We start from the raw sequence: 19,125 nt of genomic DNA on the forward strand, positions 1-19,125 counted from the left end.
ACATGGTGGTATAAAGGATTGCAACACAGACCACAATAGCAGAAAAATCCCCAGTACATTTTCTGTGTCCCTGAATAATTTTAGCCACTTAAATCAGTTTCAGCAACCACACCAAAACTTAGTGGCTAGATCTCATGGTTTTGTGGATGGACTAGGAGTTTCTTCTGTTTTATGTTGCTGGGGCACTGGGATAAGTTGAAGTCCCAAATGATCTCAATCACTTGCTGGCAAGTTGGTGCTGCCCATTAGCTGGGAGCTCAGCTGGGACCGTCTGCTGGTGGTTTTAGTTCTCCACATGAGCGTTTCCATGTGGTTCCTTGGGCTTCCTCACAGCATGGTAGCTGGGTTCCTAGAAAGAGCATTTCAAACGGCAAAGGTAGGAGCTGCACATCTCTTAAGTCCTAATCTTAGAAGTTACAAAGTTTCACTTCTGTGCTAATCTTTTGGTTGAATAGGCCACTGGGCCAGTCCAGATTAAAGAGGAAGGAAAATAAACTTTAGCTCTTGATGAGAGACTGGTGGGGTCACTGTGTACCAGAGCACTTGAAAGCCTGTGACCTTTACCTGCTCAGCAGAGCACAGGTATTTGCATTCATAGATATTTGCCAGCCTTGAAGGAGTCGCTGCTGGCAACACACAGGGCATTTCAAGCTTGCAGGCCCTTGACCTTACACGTTCCTAGAAAACTAAAGGCTTCCTTTTATGGGGACAGTACAGGTGATTCATTGATTTTTGCTTTAATGACGAAGGCAACCACTTCAGCCCTACTCTGTAATTTACAAACTTCAATGAACCTAATGTTGTTTTTTGAATGGAACAGGTTAACAGGTTTAGCTACTGTTCAGAGAGGTGGGGAGTGTGTGTGTGTGTGTGTGTGTGTGTGTGTGTGTGTGCATGCGCGTGTATGCAATCCTGCATGGTGCATGGTGCATGATGCAGAGAGGCCTATTGCAGGTTGCAGGCGCCTGTGCTGAATGCACACACTGACCCAGCTATGTGAAGGTCGTCTCATGGCTGCTTCAACACTTAGGAGTGTTACTGAGAGTGCAGAGTCCAGATTGCTGAGGAGGCAAAACGGAGACCACTGGCACAAACGTCCTAAGGAATCCCACGATGGGAGGGCCCCTCAGGACCTCACATGGGGCCTGCTCACCCTTGTTTCAGTTATAAGTGTGGCTATTCCGTTTCCCATCCATGGCGGGTTAGAAACAGCAGGTGAAGTGGGATCGGTGGCAGGAGACGCAGTCCGAGCAAGTGTGTGCAAGGCCATCGTGATGCTTCCTGTTGGTGGACAGAGGCCACGGCTCAGAGCTGTGTTCCTCCCCTCCCACCCCCGAGCCACAGGCGTGAGATATCTGCTGTTCTCTCTCCTAAAAGGGACTCCCTGCAGCAGTCAGGATTAAGGCCTGTGACTGAATGACCTCAGAACACAGTTCGATTTGTTCTTCTTTGGGCATTGGGCAGGTTTTTTTAAGTTAGAAATTTTAAAAATAATACTGTTCGGAGTAAGTAGTTTTAATGATTTGGGATGAATTTTATTTTTCAGAAACAATCTTGTCTTTAACCAAAAAGTGAAGTTTCCACCTGATATAGTTTGGATATCTGTCCCCTCCAAATCTCATGTGGAAATGTGGTCCCTGGTGTTGGAGGTGGGGCCTGGTGAGAGGTGTGTGGGTCATGGGCAGGTCCTTAATGAATGGCTTGGTGCCCTCCCCGAGGTAGTGAGTGAGTTCTCACTCTATCAGTTACCTGGAGATCTGATATTTTTAAAGAGGCTGGCATCTCTGTCTTGCTCTCTCTCTCCATGTGACATACCTCGTCTCCCTCTGCCTTCCGCCATGAGGAAAACTTCCTGAGGCCTCCCCAGAAGCAGAGGCCAGAGCCATGCTCGTACAGCCTGCAGAACCGTGAGCCACATAAACCTCTTTTATTATCAATTATCCAGTCTCAGGTATTCGGTTACGGCCATGCAAAACAGGCTAACGCACCACCCATGTCCTGTAGTGACCGAATTCCTACTGAGGATGGACACACAGATGGACAGACGTTGCTTCATTTTAAGTCTACATTTTCAAAACAGTTTTTGTTTCGTGGGTTCATTAAGTAAGCATGACTGAGTCACTGGCCACAGGGTTGAACTAGGTCTCCAGCCACCATCTCTCTCTGTAGGTTGGGCTGACACCATGTGACGCAAAGCCCCAACCTTCAATCATGGTTAGCCTTTCTGGCATGGCCAGCCCCAGCCTGAGCCATCTCCTTAACTTAAACTATCTAGGGGCCCCCAGATCACCTCATTAGCATAAACTATCAGGGCCCACCATAAGTAACAAAGACAATCGTATCACTGGGGAAATTCCAAGGATTTAGAGGCTTCCTCCCAGTAACTGGGGACAAGACAAAGGCTGTCCAAATTGATCACACGGGAGTGGCTATACTATATTCACTGTGATCATTGAATGATTCTGAAATTCACGTATTATTTTCACATTTCCACACCACTGAAAGTGGGACCGAGTTTACAATTGCTGTGGCCCTTATAGTCGTTGTCATCCTCTCAGCTACACATCAGAACTTGGAAAATGGGAATCAATCTCAGAAGAAAACACTGAGCACCCTTTTAAGAACTACGCTATGACCAAGGCTCTTGCTGATACAGAGACCATACTACATGGAAAAGCATGAACAGCAACACTGCTAAACACAAACACTATTCAAAAGTGTTGCACTCTGAAGGAAGGTGAAGGAGTTTTAGGGGCACCTTGACTAATTTGTTTCCTTATAGCTGGCCTGTTATGTAAGTGCAAACCTTTTCTCCCCTTAGTGGTACATAATGTAGTGTGTATCTTATCATTGATGGTGTGTAGTATTCAATGAAATATGGAGTTTCATAATGGCTTTTTTCTCTGAGTATATTATGAACATATTTCTACATCAAAGCGCTTCATGTTTCTCATAATATATAATTTTATTGCATTGGTATATTATCTAACACGCTTTATTTAACTGATTCCCTACTAGATATGTGTGCTCTTCTCATTTCCACGGTTGTAACCAAGACTGAGGCATATGTGGCTGTGTTGTTATGTTTTGCACACTTGTCCAGTTGCTTCTTTAAGATAAATTCCTAGAAGTGTAATTTATGGGTCCTACTGTGTCTGCATTTTAAAAACATGCTGCCCATTTCCTTTTAGAAAAGCCATAGCTCTCCACTCTCTCCAGTGGTAGTTGGTCACTGGCTGCCACACCCAGGACCACTCTGTGTTTTCTGTCTTTGTCATCTGTCAGTCTCCTGCAATACTTAACCTCTTCTGTTCTACTCCCAAGGATCTTGTTTCAGTGTGAATTTCTCTGATTATTAGTGAGGTTGATTATCTTAAAAATATGCTATTGGCCATTTATTTGTACTCCTTTTTAATAACTGCTTATGTGTGTTCATTGTACTTTCTTTCTTTATTGAGTTGTCTTTTTTCTCATATGAATTATAATATTTCCCCAGGTTTTGGATTGCCTTTTCATTTTGGCTTAACTACCTTTTAATTAACACGTTGTCATGTCACATCCAGACAAAAGACAAAACAGACTGGGTGACAGCTCAGAGGGAGCTGCCAGATGGCCACCAGTGCCCCCTCGGGGGAGGCAGGCAGGCTGGGTAGTGGCCACCCAGGGGAGGGGCTGCCAAGCCTGCTCTGGGTCTGAGCTCCTGGGTGTTTCAGCATCCCATATGGGTAATTGGCAGTCCCATTGTGCTGAATTCACGAGTCTGAGGCTCCCAACCTGGCGAGGGCTCTGCAACATGGCCTTGCTATATGTAATCCAGGCTCACAGGGTGGAAGTGCATTGTACATCTGAGCTCGTCCACTCCTGTATAAAATTGGGAAACACATCCTCAGTAAGCAACAGAACAACAACCATGTCCACAGGGTGAGGCTGTCCAGGAGGCCTCTGATGAAGCTTGAATCCGTGAGCTGGCATTCTTTTGACCCTGCTGTTTATCAGCAGAGTCCTTTCCCTTATAAGGGGAATTCTCTCTCTGTACCTCAGGGCATCTAAGCCTCCACACTGGATGTTTTATTAGAAAGCAGTGAACAGGCAATAAGCCCCTTGACAGGACAGTTCTTTGTTGCTCAGAAATCGCTCTTGGCTACCTGTCTAAATCACTGGGGTAAACATCAGGAAACCTTTTAAAGGGGTCAAGAGAGGCCGGGGCACCTTGAACTGCAGCACCTACTCTCTTATCAACAAAGGCAGACACTGGTCATCTCATTCAATACAGCCGACTGCAAAGGAAGCTCTGCTCCATTTCTCAAAATGGATGATATTCTTGTATTCTGAGATGTCTACTTTCAATAAAACAAAGTCATAATATTTGTCAGGAGAAAGTAAGGGAAAGGAAGCTGACATTTATTAAAGACACACTGTGCTCCAGACCCTGTGCTCAGCGCTTTCCAGTGTGCAGACTCAGTCGTGGTGAGCCGCGTATACGGCTGAGACCTGCATTTAATTAATAAGAGACTATTATAAACATCATATAGTACGTCAGAAACAATTAGAAAAGATGTTCTCCTTAAGGCCTCAAGCGTCAAAGGAGAAAGAAAAATTAAAGACACTGAAAATGGTGCAACTTTTCCTAATCATTCAAATCAAATCATACTTTTGCTTCATTTATCTACACACACACACACACACAGAGTCATGCGTTGCTTCATGATGGGGCTATGTTCTGAGAAAAGTGAAGTTTTAAGTAGAGTAAGGATATGGGGATAACATTTGGGTTTTTATAGGATCCTTCTTGCTGAAGTGTGGAGAATGGTTTGAAGGGCACCACAGTAGAAGTTTTAAGATCAGTTCAGGTCTTCAGCTTTCTGCTCATTAAAATCTTTGTTCGCTGAAGTTTCCAGCCTAGAAAAGAAATTCTAGACATTGTAAACACACAGCATTCATCTTTGGACATCAAGAGTGCTCAAGGGGCAACAAGCATGTGCCCACCTCCCTGAATTCTGGCTCCCATCCTCCCTCCCTCTCCCCTCCCTGGCACCCCCTCTCGCCTCCCTGGCACCCTCCTGCACTCTCCCCTCTGTGGCACTCTCCCTCCCACTCCCTTCCCTCCCTCTCTCCTCTCCTGCACTCTCCCTCCCTCTCCCTTTCCTCCTTCTTCCCTTTCTGGCACCCTCCCTCCTTGTCCCCTCCCTCCCTCTCCTCTCCCTCCACATCTGCTGCAGATCCTCCTCTCTCCTGCTCTACCCACATCTGCTGCCCTTTTTGTCATAAAAAAATTACATAACACCATCTTCCTGGCCATTCTCCTCTGCCAATATCAAATTAGTTATCTAAATTTGATTCGTTAGGGAATCACGTTTCATTTCAGCTTTTCTTGAAATAGAAGCATTTTAATAAATTATATTCAACACACCAGTATAAAATATAAAAGTAATTCAATTTCTTAACACAAGTCTTTTATTTTCTCATAAAATGAAGCAGGGAAGTCTCCTAGGAGAAGCTCCTTGCCTTGACAGCACCCTCCTTGCAATCTGTGATCTCCCTGTACTCATTCGCACGGGTTACGTTGTGGCAGATTCTGCCATAGAGAAATGACAAAGGAGTGATCACAAAAATGCACTTAAAAGTGCTTTGCAGCACTCTCCTCACCCCCTGATATGAGGAGGGGTTAGCGAGCCCTTCAGGGGTGGGTGGTCATTCTGCTCCTCTGGGTCATAGGCAGGAGCCCCTCCTCCTCTCGTCTTGGCCTGTGGTGTGGACCGTGAAGTGGGTTGTTCTCACATTATTCCTACTCTGGAAGAATGGGAAGGGGTTGTCCTCTGGCAGAAGATAAACATCTGCTGAGTTCAAACACTCTTATTGCACTATATGGAGAAACTAACAAGCTCATCAATGCATTTCATTATTGGTCTGAAGATTAATTACATCTGATGGTAACAATTGTGGCTTCCATTATCGCAGAAACTGTCTGCTGAAAGTGACGTTGCTGGTTATCTGTCATCTTAATGTGAGGAATTCTGGCAAAGGGGCCCTGGCGTGACGTTCCCAAGCATTCCCTACCTTCACCCTAACTCCCCAAGCAGCCCTGCCCATTCCCAGCTATATAGCCACCCTAGGACCAGGAAGGACTGCCTTGTTTTTCTCTGTAGTAGATGAATGACAGAGGGGCAGATGCAGCCACCCTTTTCTTGATGTGCCTAGGCAGGTGTCCTGCCTGCCCTGGCTCGGCTCCACCAAGCCGATGGATATGCTGTGTACCCTGCGGCCACCTCCTGGGCAGCAGGTGGCCCAGATCTGTCTGTGGCTGTGCTTGCCACCTTGCTGGGTGTCACGGCTCTTTGCTCCTTGGCCCGTGGCTCTCCCTTTGACCCCTCTCTGGTCTGCAGCACTTGGTGTCTGCCCATGAACTCCCTGGGTTTGAACCTCCCCTGGGGACTTTTTGGCTTACCTTGGCTGGGCTCGGGCTGTCTTGTGCTAATTCTGGTGGAAGAAACATCTTGTTCTTGCTGGAAATAGAACCTTCTCCTTATCTCCCCCTCCACCCACACACACATGCCCATCGCTCTCCACCAAACAGGGAGTCAGCACCTCCATAGGCTGTGAGAAGACTGAGCTCGATTCTCCTGCTCCAACAGCCTAGAGCTACGGTAATCCAGGGCATGGGGTCAGACATCAGTGGCTCTCAAACTTGAGCGTGTGCAAGAATTCCCTGGAGGGCTAGTGAGAGAATCTGATTCAGTAGGGCTGGAGCAAGGCTGGGAATTTGCATCTTTAACAAGTTCCAAAGTGGAGATGGTGTTGCTGCTGCTCAGGTGTTTGAGATGCGGGCAGTGGCCGCCAGTGCAGAGGAGAAAGCTGGCCACAGCCTCTGTGACCTACAGTTGGAGCTGGTCATGCCTAGCATGGCCCACCCTGGGCCACAGGGCACCTTTGAGCAGCTGGCAAAAGACCTGGCTAAGACATCATTTGGATGTTCGCGGTGGAGGTCAGAGCCTCTTGGGAGAGGAGGCTCTTCTCCTCAGCCTAAAGCCAGAGCCACTTTTACTGCATAGCTAGAAGGGCCAGAGAAAGAATGCGGGCTCTGGGGGAAATGAGCCTTGCTCGGAATCCTGTCTCCATGACCTCCGGTTTACTCAGCCCTTCTGGGCCTGCAGAATAGGACAACTGCATCTGCCCCATACGGTTGTTGTGGGGCTTTGATGAGACACATTCTAGCATAGCTGGGGTTGAGAAGGAGCCCACGAAGGATGGCTGCGATGATGAATAGCTGCCCAGCAGCATTTCTTTCCAACTCCACCCTTTGGCAATGAGTGCAAAGGCCGAAGCCTTATACATGGGGTCACCTCAGTACTCCTCTGTGCCCTACAGAGCTTCCATTAGGACCTCCCGCCGCACCCCTCAACAGGCACTGGGGAGAAACAGGAATCAATGACACTAACACCCCCCACAGCACTGGCAGAACGAGGGAAAGGGAGAGGGAGCCACAGCCAGCCACGTGCTTACTGTGTGCTGGCGTTGTGCTACTTGAGGAAGGAATTCTGTTTCCATTTTACAGTTGAGGAAACAGAGGTTGAGAAACTGGCTCCAGGGAGAAGCAAAGCTCTTGGATTACTTCCAAGCCCCTCATTTATTTTGTAGTTTTTTGAGATAGAGTCTCGCTCTGTCGCCCAGGCTGGAGTGCAGTGGCGTGATCATGGCTCAAGTGATCCTCCCACTTCAGCTCCCGAGTAGCTGGGACTACAGGTGTACGTGCCACCACACCCGGCTAATTTTTGTATTTTCTGTAGAGATGGGGTCTCGCCATGTTGCCCACAAGTCCCTCATTTTAGAGGTGAGAAAATCAGAGAAGTTGCATGCCTTTCCCAAAGACACACAGCCGTTTTAGTGATAGCATTAGGGCAAGCCTCAGTTTCTAAAAACTGGATTTGTCTCACTGTCTCATGGCCTCCTCTTCACTCCTTCCCTTGAGTAGTTAACCCAGGAGAAAAGGCGTGGTGTGACAGCACTGGGGCCCTAAAGACATTTTTGTTTGTTTTGGTTTTAACAAATTGAAGTTGGCGTTGGTTTTCCCCTTTAGGAAGACGGGGAGAGTCTCTTTTGATGACAGGCTTTTGAGGACTATCCCCGTTACACCCGCAGTCATGCTACATCCGAGGAAGTTATTACTGACCAGTGATCCTTGTCAAAGGCAGCTGTCACTGCGAATACATTTGAATCCCCCAAATTTTGTGAAATATCCTGCCCCAGAGAGGTCACTTTTATAGACCAAGTAATGCATGATACACAGCAACTCCAGAACCCAGTGAGGGATTTTCAGGTCAGCAATGGCTGGGGAAGAGATCTCAGCTCTGCAAAATTAGAATTGGCCCCTACAGGGCAGTCTTAGCCTCCTGATTCACATAAAGGGGGATCTCTCTTCTTGATTTCCTATATCCTCCCTAACTCAGTCACCCTCCCTTTCTCCACTCCCTCTTTTTCTTTGCAGCCTAAATAGAGCCCATAGGAGAAGGCTGCTGAATAAATAGTGTATTAAATAAGGTAACTGAAGTGTGAACCTGTGCAAATATTTTAGTATTTTATTTTTAAATCATCTAGTAGTAAGATGTCTTCACTAATTGAAAACCCATCACAATCTAATTGCATGTTTCTTTCTGTCTGAAGGTCACTGCGCAAATATGGGTGAAGCATCTTCCACGTGGCAGGCATAGTTCTGGGCACTCATACATCAGTGAACAGAACGTGGACTCCTGTCAGCCTCATTTCAGCAGTGAGGAGTGAGGTGATCAACAACACACTTAATAAATAAGGAAGTTTTTCAGGTCAGAAATGCTAAAAAAAGGGAAAAAGTAGAACAGAGAAGAGGGATTGGAAAGGCTGTGGTATGAGTGTTGTGTGAGTGTGTATATGTGTGCAAGTGTGTGTGTATGAGTGTGTACGTGTGTTGGGATTATGTTGGATGAGCATGTGGGTGTGTTTCCTGCATGTGTGTGTGTTTATGGGTGCATGTGTGGGCGTGTGGGTGAGAGTGGGGGGGGGCACTTTTATATGGGGTGCTTAGAACAGGCCTCACTAGGAGGAAAGCTCTGAGCCAGGGTGTGAAGGAGGTGACGAGGTGTGCTGTGTGGAATCTGAAATGAGAAGGGGAGAGGCTTTCCTCTCTAGGGATTTTTGGTTCTGATCTGCAAGCGGTAACTCTCTGGAAATGGTGTCAGAATGAAGACTCCTGCTCATGGAAACATCTGGATATTCTCCTATTTTCTTGGTAGGCTTTGCTTAAACACATCAGCTGCTCATATTGAATGGGATTTAGAAACATGTCTTTTTTTGTTGTTTTTTTTTTTTGTTGTTGTTGTTTTTTGAGACAGAGTCTTGCTCTGTTGCCAGGCTAGCCTGCAGTGGTGCAATCTCGGCTCACTGCAAGCTCCACCTCCTGGGTTCATGCCATTCTCCTGCCTCAGCCTCCTGAGTAGCTGGGACTACAGGTGCCCGCCACCACGCCCGGCTAATTTTTTGTATTTTTATTGGAGACGGGGTTTCACTGTGTTAGCCAGGATGGTCTCGATCTCCTGACCTCGTGATCCGCCACCTTGGCCTCCCAAAGTGCTGCGATTACAGGCGTGAGCCACCGCGCCCGGCCAGCCTGTCTTTTTAGAGGCGACCTGAGCCCTGCTCCGGGACTGATTCTGGATGCTGTCTGGGATGACTTGGATGATACTGATCTCCATGAGGGCAGAGTGGGCTCTGCACTTGCTGGGTTTGCTCTAGTCTGGCTGGAGCAGACTCACTGGTAACCAACCTCTTGTAGTCAGCAAGGCCAGATAGGGACTGGGGACAAGGGCAGCAAACAGAAATGCTCTGTCTCCAGCGTGGCACAAGACAAATGTGAAGGAGGGATTACCTGAGGGAGATATGAAACAAAAAGCCAACACCTGATGGGCAGTGTCCCTCCCACCTCACTGCCTCGGAATCTTAGATGAATCTTAACCTGTCCTGAAGAAGGATGACACAGCAGCCAGTGTTTGATTTGTGAAAGGAATCGCTTTGTGCATTTGATGTTGAAATACGTGCAGATCCCCCAGGCCCTGGCTCCTGCTGGGGTCTGCCAGGCCAGCTCAGCAGGGTCTCTACCTACAGGGATTAGCCCCCAGGAAGGGCTGCTCTCCCTGGCACCATGAGGATGGGGATCTTGCCTCACGTGGAGTAATTCAGAGTTTGGCCACCAAGGTTTTGTCGTGAGCCTTTTGTGCTGGGCAGCACAGCCAATTCCTTGTCTTGGATTATTCACAACCAGCTGCAGCCCCCACAGACTCCAGTGTGGTGAACACAGAGGAGAGGACAGCTTTACACACAGTGTTGCCAATGTACGTGCCTACCCCTAGTTCTGTGGAAACCAGGAGCTCTTGTCAAGTTCCAATTACTGCGGTCCTTAATGTGACCACAGGTGGAAAAATGGACCCTTGTAGCTTGGCTCCCTGCTGTGTTTAACTTGAAAGATATGCTTTCAAAAAATCCCTGTGGAGACTGAAAACTCCATAGAGCCAGTTGGCGCCCTACCTACATTAGAATAATCATCCTCGGTCCAAAGGCATAGGGAATTCTTTAGAAACATCACAGTGATGCATGAAACAGGAAATGCAAGTGGTTTGCCGCGAAGACACTCAAAATGCAGTTGGACAGCAATAGCACCCTTTCTCTTTTGATATTCAACTCCAAGTTTAATTACTGCTCAGAGAGATATGGCTGAAAAGTTGCTAGCATATAGAATTTTTCTATTTCCATTTCTTTTGCTGCTTTGACTTGCAGAGTCAGTACCACTCTTTGATCCAGGCAAGGGGGATTCTGCCTCTTCCCTGTCTCTGGTGGCTGGAACTGTAGTGTTCTCAAGTCATAGCTCCCTGAGCCTTGTCCTAATGTCCCCGCCGTCATCTCTCCCTTCTGGGATAGTCTCCAATCCACTCTCTGCAGGTGGGGTCGACCAGATGGCCTGGAGCTAGGGCCTTGCCTAACAAGGTCATCCCGTAGGGGGCACCTGGCACGCAGACCACTGTCACTGCCTGGGACAGTACTTCCTTTACGGGATCACATAAACTTGGGCAGCCAGAATGATGCTGATGGACTAATGTTGAGTGACTTACATTGTTTCTATAGATAAGGGCGCCACACAAAAAATGGTTGCTCCCTGTTCCCCGTAGCAGATGTGCATAGAGTAAATTTCCACAAATTCTAACGTCCTGATAATTTGGCCAGGAGATAGTTTGACATTTACCTTTAGACTATTAAGTGTAAAAGCAGTCTGTTAGGCAAATGATAAGCAAACAATGGAAAGGGGAAAAGGTTGATGTGTTTAAGAGAAAAAAGTTACTCTGAAAATCTTTAGAGTTTCTGTCCATCAGTGATTGATCTAAATTTTAATGAATTCTCATCAATTAATTACAGGCTTATGCCTGTAATCCCAGCACTTTGGGGGGCTGAGGCGGGAAGATTACCTGAGGTCAGGAGTTCGAGACCAGCCTGGCCAACATGGTGAAACCCTGTCTCTACTAAAAATGCAAAAATTAGCCCAGCATGGTGGCAGGCGCCTGTAATCCCAGCTACTCGGGAGGCTGAGGCAGAAGAATCACTTGAACCTGGAGGCGGAGGTTGCCGTGACCCAGGATTGCACCATTGCACTCCAGCCTTGGTGACAAGAGCGAAACTCCATCTCAAAAAAAAAAAATTAGTATGTGCTATAAGGACCTCTGTACTTCATTGTATATACTTAAAAACTTTACATTTATCCCTTTAAAATAATCTCTTCAGACTTTCAGAGCTTTCCATTGCTATTCCCAAGCAATGTTCGTGAAATTATGTAGCATATTTAGTGATCCTCTCTCTTCATTTATGATGGATCTCCAGATAGTTACTGATGTTTTAAAATATACACATCTGCTTAATTTTGTTCCTCCCTTTTTATTTTCCCCAACCCTCACAAAAAGACAGCATTTGGAAAATTTAGCAGACACTAGGCTGAGATCAGGGCAGGCAAATTCGACATCTGACTCTGGAGCAAACCTCTTCCCTTCTCTGTTCTTCGGGGTCCTCATTTGTTTAACAAATGCTGTTAGACCGGGTCCACGGTTTTTGAAAATATTTCAGTCATAGAATCTGTTCTTCAAACCAAACCTTATCCACGAAGCCTGGTACAGAGAACAGACAGTGGAGTTGCTGGCTTTCGGTTTTCGTTGTTTGGTTTTCCATTGCTGTAAGTGTCGGGGCTCAGTGCGGTGTCCCCCGGGGCATGTCTATAGAAAATCCCCATGGCTCCAGGGAGTCCAGTTTAAAGCCCACCCAACTAAATGAGGTTCTTCCTCTCTCAATCCTTCTGTTGGATTTAAAGGTATTGATGGAGGAATTCTATGGTGAAGAATTCCCAATAATATGAGAAATTGCATCATGGGGGTTATTATAAATTCAGCTTTTTCTATTTTGAGTTTCTTTAAAATAAAGTATACTTGTGTAATTTTTGTTACAACAGCTAATCTATGATCATAAATAGATCAAATGGCTTTAATGCTTCTAATGAAACAGTCCGTCTAGCTGGAAGATACTGGCATAATGAAAATCCCTGACTCTAGCCAACAGTGAGGAACGTGCCCCCACAGCCAGCTCCCTCCCCTGCAGGGCCTGAGGGCTCAGTGCGGGATGGGGCTGCAGGGCTATCTCCTCCCGTATGCCCTGAAAAAACAGGACTGCTGAAGGCCTCAGACCTTCAACTTGCTCCTGAAAGCGTGACCACAGTGGAGACGCATCTGCAAAAGCAAGTTGACAGATGCAGATCTCAGAACTGAACAGAAGCCTCTCGACAAACGTCTCTTATTTGGCCTTGGGGACAGGATGAGGGGGAAGTGGTGTCAGAATTGGCTGTGTAGAAACCAAGGCCTAAGCTAGGTAAGAGGCTCAAAGGCTCTTTGTGTTATAAGATTAAGGGACCATCAGGGGAAAAAGAGAAATGAAGTAGGCAATAGAAAGAAATTAGACTTTCTTTCTCTCACAACCACCCTTCAAAGTATGTATTATCATTCTTATTTTACAAAAATGGAAATGAGCTCAGCAATGTGCTTGTTACACAGTCAGTCAGAGCTGGATAGATGTTTTTTGTTGCTTTTTTTTTTTTTTTTTTTTTGAGACGGAGTCTTGCTCTGTCGCCCAGGTTGGGGTGCAGTGGCGCGATCTCGACTCACTGCAAGCTCCGCCTCCCGAGTTCACGCCATTCTCCTGCCTCAGCCTCCCGAGTAGCTGGGACTACAGGCGCGTGACACCACGCCCGGCTAATTTTTTGTGTTTTTATTAGAGACGGGGTTTCACCGTGTTAGCCAGGATGGTATCGATCTCCTGACCTCGTGATCCACCCGCCTCGGCCTCCCAAAGTGCTGGGATTAAAGGCGTGAGTCACCACACCTGGCCGATAGATGTATTTTTTATCTCATTAGAAACAGCCCACCTTCCTGGGTTATAGAAAGAAGCAGAGGCCGAGAGCCGTCGACCCTCCCAGCTCCCGCCTGTGTTCTCTTCTTGGTCCTCTCCCATCCTGAATCGACAACCAGCAAATATGACAATCCAGATGGTGGTCCTACCCGACTTAAGCCTCTCTGGGCCTCACGTTGGAAGCGCCCCTTTGCTCCCAGCCTGAGACTCAGTGACCTGAGCCGTTAGAAGGACAGATGGGCTTTGGGGGACCGAGTCTACACCAAGACGTCAGGACATCGCTAGGAGAGCTCTTGCCTCCAGCACACACGTTCCCTGGGAGTGAGGTTTGTGTGTGTCCTCCCTCACTGAGGAATGTGGGGGCTGTGGAAGCACTTGAGCAGGAGTCTGCAGAGGGTGGACATGCTGCTGCCGGGGAGCTCGCTCTGGTGCTCAGCTTGGTTTCTCCGGGCTTGCTTTAAAGGGACCCATGCTGCAAAAATCGTGACTATAGCAGCACCCATAGGGCCTTCAGGGCAGAAACCTTCTTTTGCCATGCACTTTTACAGGGTCAAAATTTATTAGAAGATTGCGCAGGCTCTGAGAGGTCCTAATGTGTGCCTGGGTATTGAAAATTGGGTGAATGGGGCCCACGGAAGAACGCTCTCTGGGGAAAGTCTGGAGGGGACAAGAATAAAAAGTTCCTCCACTACTCAGATGTAAGCAAACTGCAGGAAGAGGGTTCTGGGGAAAACACATTGAGGTTTAATACTAAGCCACCTGGAAAGAGTGGGTTGCTTCTCTCACACCAGGAGAAATTCTGCATAAATGTGTCAGGCCTTACAAGTTTACACAAGCAGGAAGCCTCTGGGTTAAAATGCTCCCAAGGATTAAAACCCACAGGGTTCTGATGCTTTGCTTGGTCGGGGTGGACACAGCACCACTTTTCCTGGGCTCCTCAGCCCCAAGGGAAGGATGCTGGCCAGGGTGTGGAGATTAGTGGTTTGGAGGGGGCTTGCCTGCCCGATCCCTGTGAGTGACAGAAGCCCTGCCCACCCTCGGCAGGACCACAGTTTGCTTAGATGATGGTTGCCCCTGGCAGCCCGTGAGCTCAAGGCTTGACATGTCGAGCTGTCCTCCTCCCCATCCTTATTGCTGGAGATGCTAGAAGACGTGTCCCCAGCACTCTCAGACCAGGCTGCTCTTTTCCCTTCACAGCAGGACACGGATATCACCTTGGGGCCTTGGTCACTGGGCTGCCTCCTTGGCCTGCCTTTCCCCTCACTCCGGGCCGCACTGGGCTTCTGTGATTGGGCGGATCACGCCGGCCTCATGTTCCTTCTCTTGTCCCTCTCTACCCCTCATGAAATTGTGCTCCTTCAGAGCATACAGGCCGTCAGGATGCGGGGTAGGGTCAAGACTTATCAGACTGAGCGATGAACACCTTGGCTTCTCCATCAGACCCCGTGAGAACCACAATGGACACGTGTCAGGTAGCAGCAGGCGATTTACAAAGGCTTTCACAGCCTCCTGTTTCTGTAATCCTTACAACTGTTGGGCAGAATAGGGCTCTTGACTCTCTTCCTAACCTGGGTCTCACATAATGTGCTATCTTGTGCTACACACGAATTTCTTTAGTCTTATCTCCTTAACCGGGCTGTGAGATCCCTGATGGCAGAAGCTTTGTGTATTTTTGCTAATAACATTCATTCAAAGTCTTTGGGCATTCACGAGCCTCCCTCCCCTACTCACACAAAAAGAGGCATTCTTAAATGAGGAGGAAGAAATTAACTTTTCCAGGTGAATGCCTGGCTTTAAATCGGCTCTTTCCTGGAATTCTATCTTTAAATGGTATATACGTGTATAATGTTGTATGGAAAACATATTTCATTATGACAGCAGAAAAATTAGAAGGGTTTGATGAAGGATAATGAGAGTGCAAATCCTTTAAAAAATATAACAGATATCTCATTTTTAAAAGTCTGCCATTCTACACTAACAGTATTTTTCATGCCAAATTTTCTCAATCTGAAGTTTGTTGTAATTATCGTATGTTGGTTACAAGTTCTCCTGTGAGGATTTTCTTATATTTAAATTTTAAGCATTTATTAAATTACAAAAATAATATATGCTGTGAGTCACAACAGGGGTTGCCTATGGGGAGAGGATTGATTGGAAGGAGACACAAGGGAACTTCATTGCCATGTGGCTCACCCGGGTGTAGACATTTGTAAAAACTCACTGAATTGTACACTTAGAGCTGTGTGTCCCACTGTATGTAATTTCATTTCAATAAAAAGAAATAATGTATGTTTAAAGAATCAAGCCTGGAAAACACAAAAACACGCAAAGAAAATATCCACACAGTATTCATGCAAGTTAAGATTTCTAAAGCTGGAGTTTTATTGTACTTAAAAAATTTCTTTCTGATGCAAAGACTACATGTTCCTTGTTTAAGAAATCAAGTAGCTTTTCCACTCAGCAATGTTTCACGTGACCTTTCCACATCCGTAGGTAGAAAACCATAGCATTATTTTTAGTGGATAACATAATTTATTTAACCAACTGCCTCAAGTTTATTGCTATTTTAAACAATGTTTTGATAAAAATCCATGTATGTATCTTTAAATATTTTCCTAGATATTTTTTAGGCTAATTCTTGGAAATGCTATGTCAAGTGACGTGAACCTTTGCAAAGATCATTGACGCATATTAACAAGAGCCTTTAGTTCATGCTGTCATTAGCAGATGCCTGGAGTGCCTCGCCCACAGAGAACATTGAACATTATAATCCTAGTCAATTTCCAAGCTGGTATTTCTTAGATTACTGGTGAAATAATCATTTTCCTCATCTACTGAATGGCTATTTGGGTTTTTCCCTTAGTAAATTGACATCTAACAACATCCTTAGACTCTATTATAATTTCCAATATTTTTAATATTTATTTGTAAGAACTCTTATACAGCAATGTGTCTCTTCATTTCCTTTCAGACACTGTAATTCCCCCACCTCCCCGCCCCAATTCGTCATTTGTCTAACTCTGTGAATGCTGGGTAGGTCAGCCACTGTTGGTTAGCTAACCCAGAGCCCACTGCCAATCCCATTCTCCACTGCCTGACTTTCTCTTCCGAGACTGCAAAGGGAAATCTTAGTTTTCCTACTTTTTCTTGTATCTCCGAGAGGCCTTATGATGTAGATCTAACAATTAAGATATAAGCAGAAGTCAAGGCTGGCGAGAGTTCTGAGAATGGTTTTGCTCCTTATAAAAAGTTATGGCTGGTGCTGTTCCCCTCCACTTATTCCTGTCTTGAATGTGGATTTAATGGCTGGAGCTGTGGCAGCCATCTTGCAATATGAGATGACAGTGGGAGCATGAAAGGCCCACACATAAGGGATGGTGGAGAGGAAAATGGAAAGAATTTGTGTCAGTGAGTTGCTGTACCAAACCTGTAACCACTTACCTCCCACTTTTTGTGATGTGAGATAATGAAATATCTTTACTACTTAAACCACTGGTTGTCCAGTAGCTCACTTGCAGCCAAAAGTGAGTTTGTTTTTGTTTCATTGTTATATTTAGGGTGGAAGGAGAAATGATTGGCATACATGAATTTGAGAATTTTATGTAACTAATCTGTTAATCTTGTCTCTGTGGTTTATGACACAGAAAGTACTGTTGTAGTTTATCAGTTTTACATCTAATTTATTAATCCATCTGGGATTTATTTTTGTATATGAAGAAAGAATCTAATTTTATTTTTCCCCAATGGGTTAATTGGTGGTTTCCACCCTATTTAGCTGTTGTCTTCTTTATATGTTAAATTCTATGTTTAGTCTGTATTTAGGTCTGATTTTGGATACCACTCCATTTTAAGACCATGTGCCTTTCAAATAAACCAAAAAACTAAAAACTAAAACACTAAGCTGTGTGATTGCATTTCATTTTCAAGACAAACTTTACAAATTACAAGTTAAGTTTCCCCAACTCCCTCTTCTCATTAAGAATGAAACAAGAATAAAAAACAAAACTTTCAACACATTGGGATTTTGATTGGAATTATATTAAATTTGTAGATTAACTGTAGAGAATTTTATATTTCCAATGTGTTTCTAAGAATATTTATCACTCAATTTATTTGTCTTTAAAAAAATCTCTCAGTAAAATCCTGCTGTTTCCTTCACAAAGATTCTTATTTTTCTGTTTAAATTTACTCCCATAATTTATACTTTGGTTGATATTTTGAGTGCATTTTTCCTTGTTTATTTTATAACTGATTATTGTCAGTCTACAGGACAAGTATTGAAGTCATTTATTTACACATTGCAACAGTGTCTAAGTTGATTTCCTTAGGTTAACCGGGAGACAGTCACATCATTTGAAAATAATGATGCATTTATTTTTTCTCTTCCACTGCTATCTTCTATTTCTTTTTCCTGTCTTGATGCATTAGTTAGGCTATCTAGGATGACACTTAATCCTAGCATTGGTAGTAAAAATCTTGTTTGCCCTTGATTTTACAGGGAATGAATGTTATTTCAGTAAGTTAAATGCTTATTAATTATTTCAAATAAATGTTGCATATTATATTAAATAAGTGCTATTATACTCCTAGATATTTACTAACAAAATTTTTTAATACTCTGCTAATTATCAGCTATGGAGGCTGAATTTCATCAAATCCAGATTGTAAATATTTATATTACTTTTTTCCTCATATCATCTCCTTTGAGAATAATTCTTAATTTTTGTATTTGGGTTAATTTAGCATATTTATATTTACAACCATGTTTAGGCTTACCTCTATTTTAACTAATTTCAGTGTTCATTGCAAATCTTTTTATATCTTCATTCTTGAGCTCTTAATTCTACCTCATTTCTTAGTTGGTTAAAATACATAATGGTTTGTTTTCCAAGCTCTTGTATGCATGCATAAGACTATCTATTATCTTCACATGTAGTAACAACTTGACTGGTTGTCAATTCATGCGTCAAAATTTTTCTTTCAGAACTCAGTTTTTCTTTTATTACATAGTATTTGTAGATTCTGAGTCTAGCCTGATTTTTCTCTGATAGGTTTGATTATAGCTTTTTCCAGCCAGAAAGACAAGAGGACTCTTTATTTTCCTTGTTAAATATTTTCCAGGATATACATGACCAGGTTTGGTCCATCCTACCATATGATGATATGATGATCTCTATTAATCTATATAAAAGATACAGGTGTTTTCTTCATCTTGGGAGATTCTCTCTCTCTCTCTCTCTCTCTCTCTCCTGTTTCATTTGTTCTGGTTTTTCCCTCCAGAATATATACATTGGCTCATTCAACATCCACTTTTCTCCATAAACATCATCTTATTCCATATATTTTCTTTCTTTGTTTTATTCTTTCTGTGTTCTAAGGAAACAACTCGAGTTTGACCACCACATTATTGATTTGATTTTTGGGAATATCACTTATGCTTCCTACTGCCTTACACACAGATTTTACTTCTGCTTTTGTGGGTTTGGCCTCCTGGTCATCCTTCCTAAATTGCATCCTCTCCTTCCTCCCTTCCTCTGGAGTTCCCTCCCACTGCCCTTCATCCCAGCCTGTGCCCTCCTCACACAGTTCTGCTAGCTTTCGCACAGGGAATGCCTTCTCATGTTTAAGTTTGGATTTGCTTTGTTTTAATCCTTCCCCTTACTT

At 44.8% G+C, this 19,125-nt stretch overlaps 2 annotated features.

The window, feature by feature from the left end:
* Nucleotides 3,679-4,181: an enhancer, noted in NCBI's record as "H3K4me1 hESC enhancer chr6:3568820-3569322 (GRCh37/hg19 assembly coordinates)". NCBI's record gives its function as "activates a minimal SCP1, AML or CMV promoter by ChIP-STARR-seq in primed H9 embryonic stem cells {active_cell/tissue: H9 hESC(primed)}" and the evidence as "EXISTENCE:reporter gene assay evidence [ECO:0000049][PMID:30033119]".
* Nucleotides 14,226-15,137: an enhancer, noted in NCBI's record as "H3K4me1 hESC enhancer chr6:3579367-3580278 (GRCh37/hg19 assembly coordinates)". NCBI's record gives its function as "activates a minimal SCP1, AML or CMV promoter by ChIP-STARR-seq in naive H9 embryonic stem cells {active_cell/tissue: H9 hESC(naive)}" and the evidence as "EXISTENCE:reporter gene assay evidence [ECO:0000049][PMID:30033119]".

This window comes from Homo sapiens, chromosome 6 (assembly GCF_000001405.40).
Source record: "Homo sapiens chromosome 6, GRCh38.p14 Primary Assembly".
Classification (NCBI taxonomy): Eukaryota; Metazoa; Chordata; class Mammalia; order Primates; family Hominidae; genus Homo; species Homo sapiens.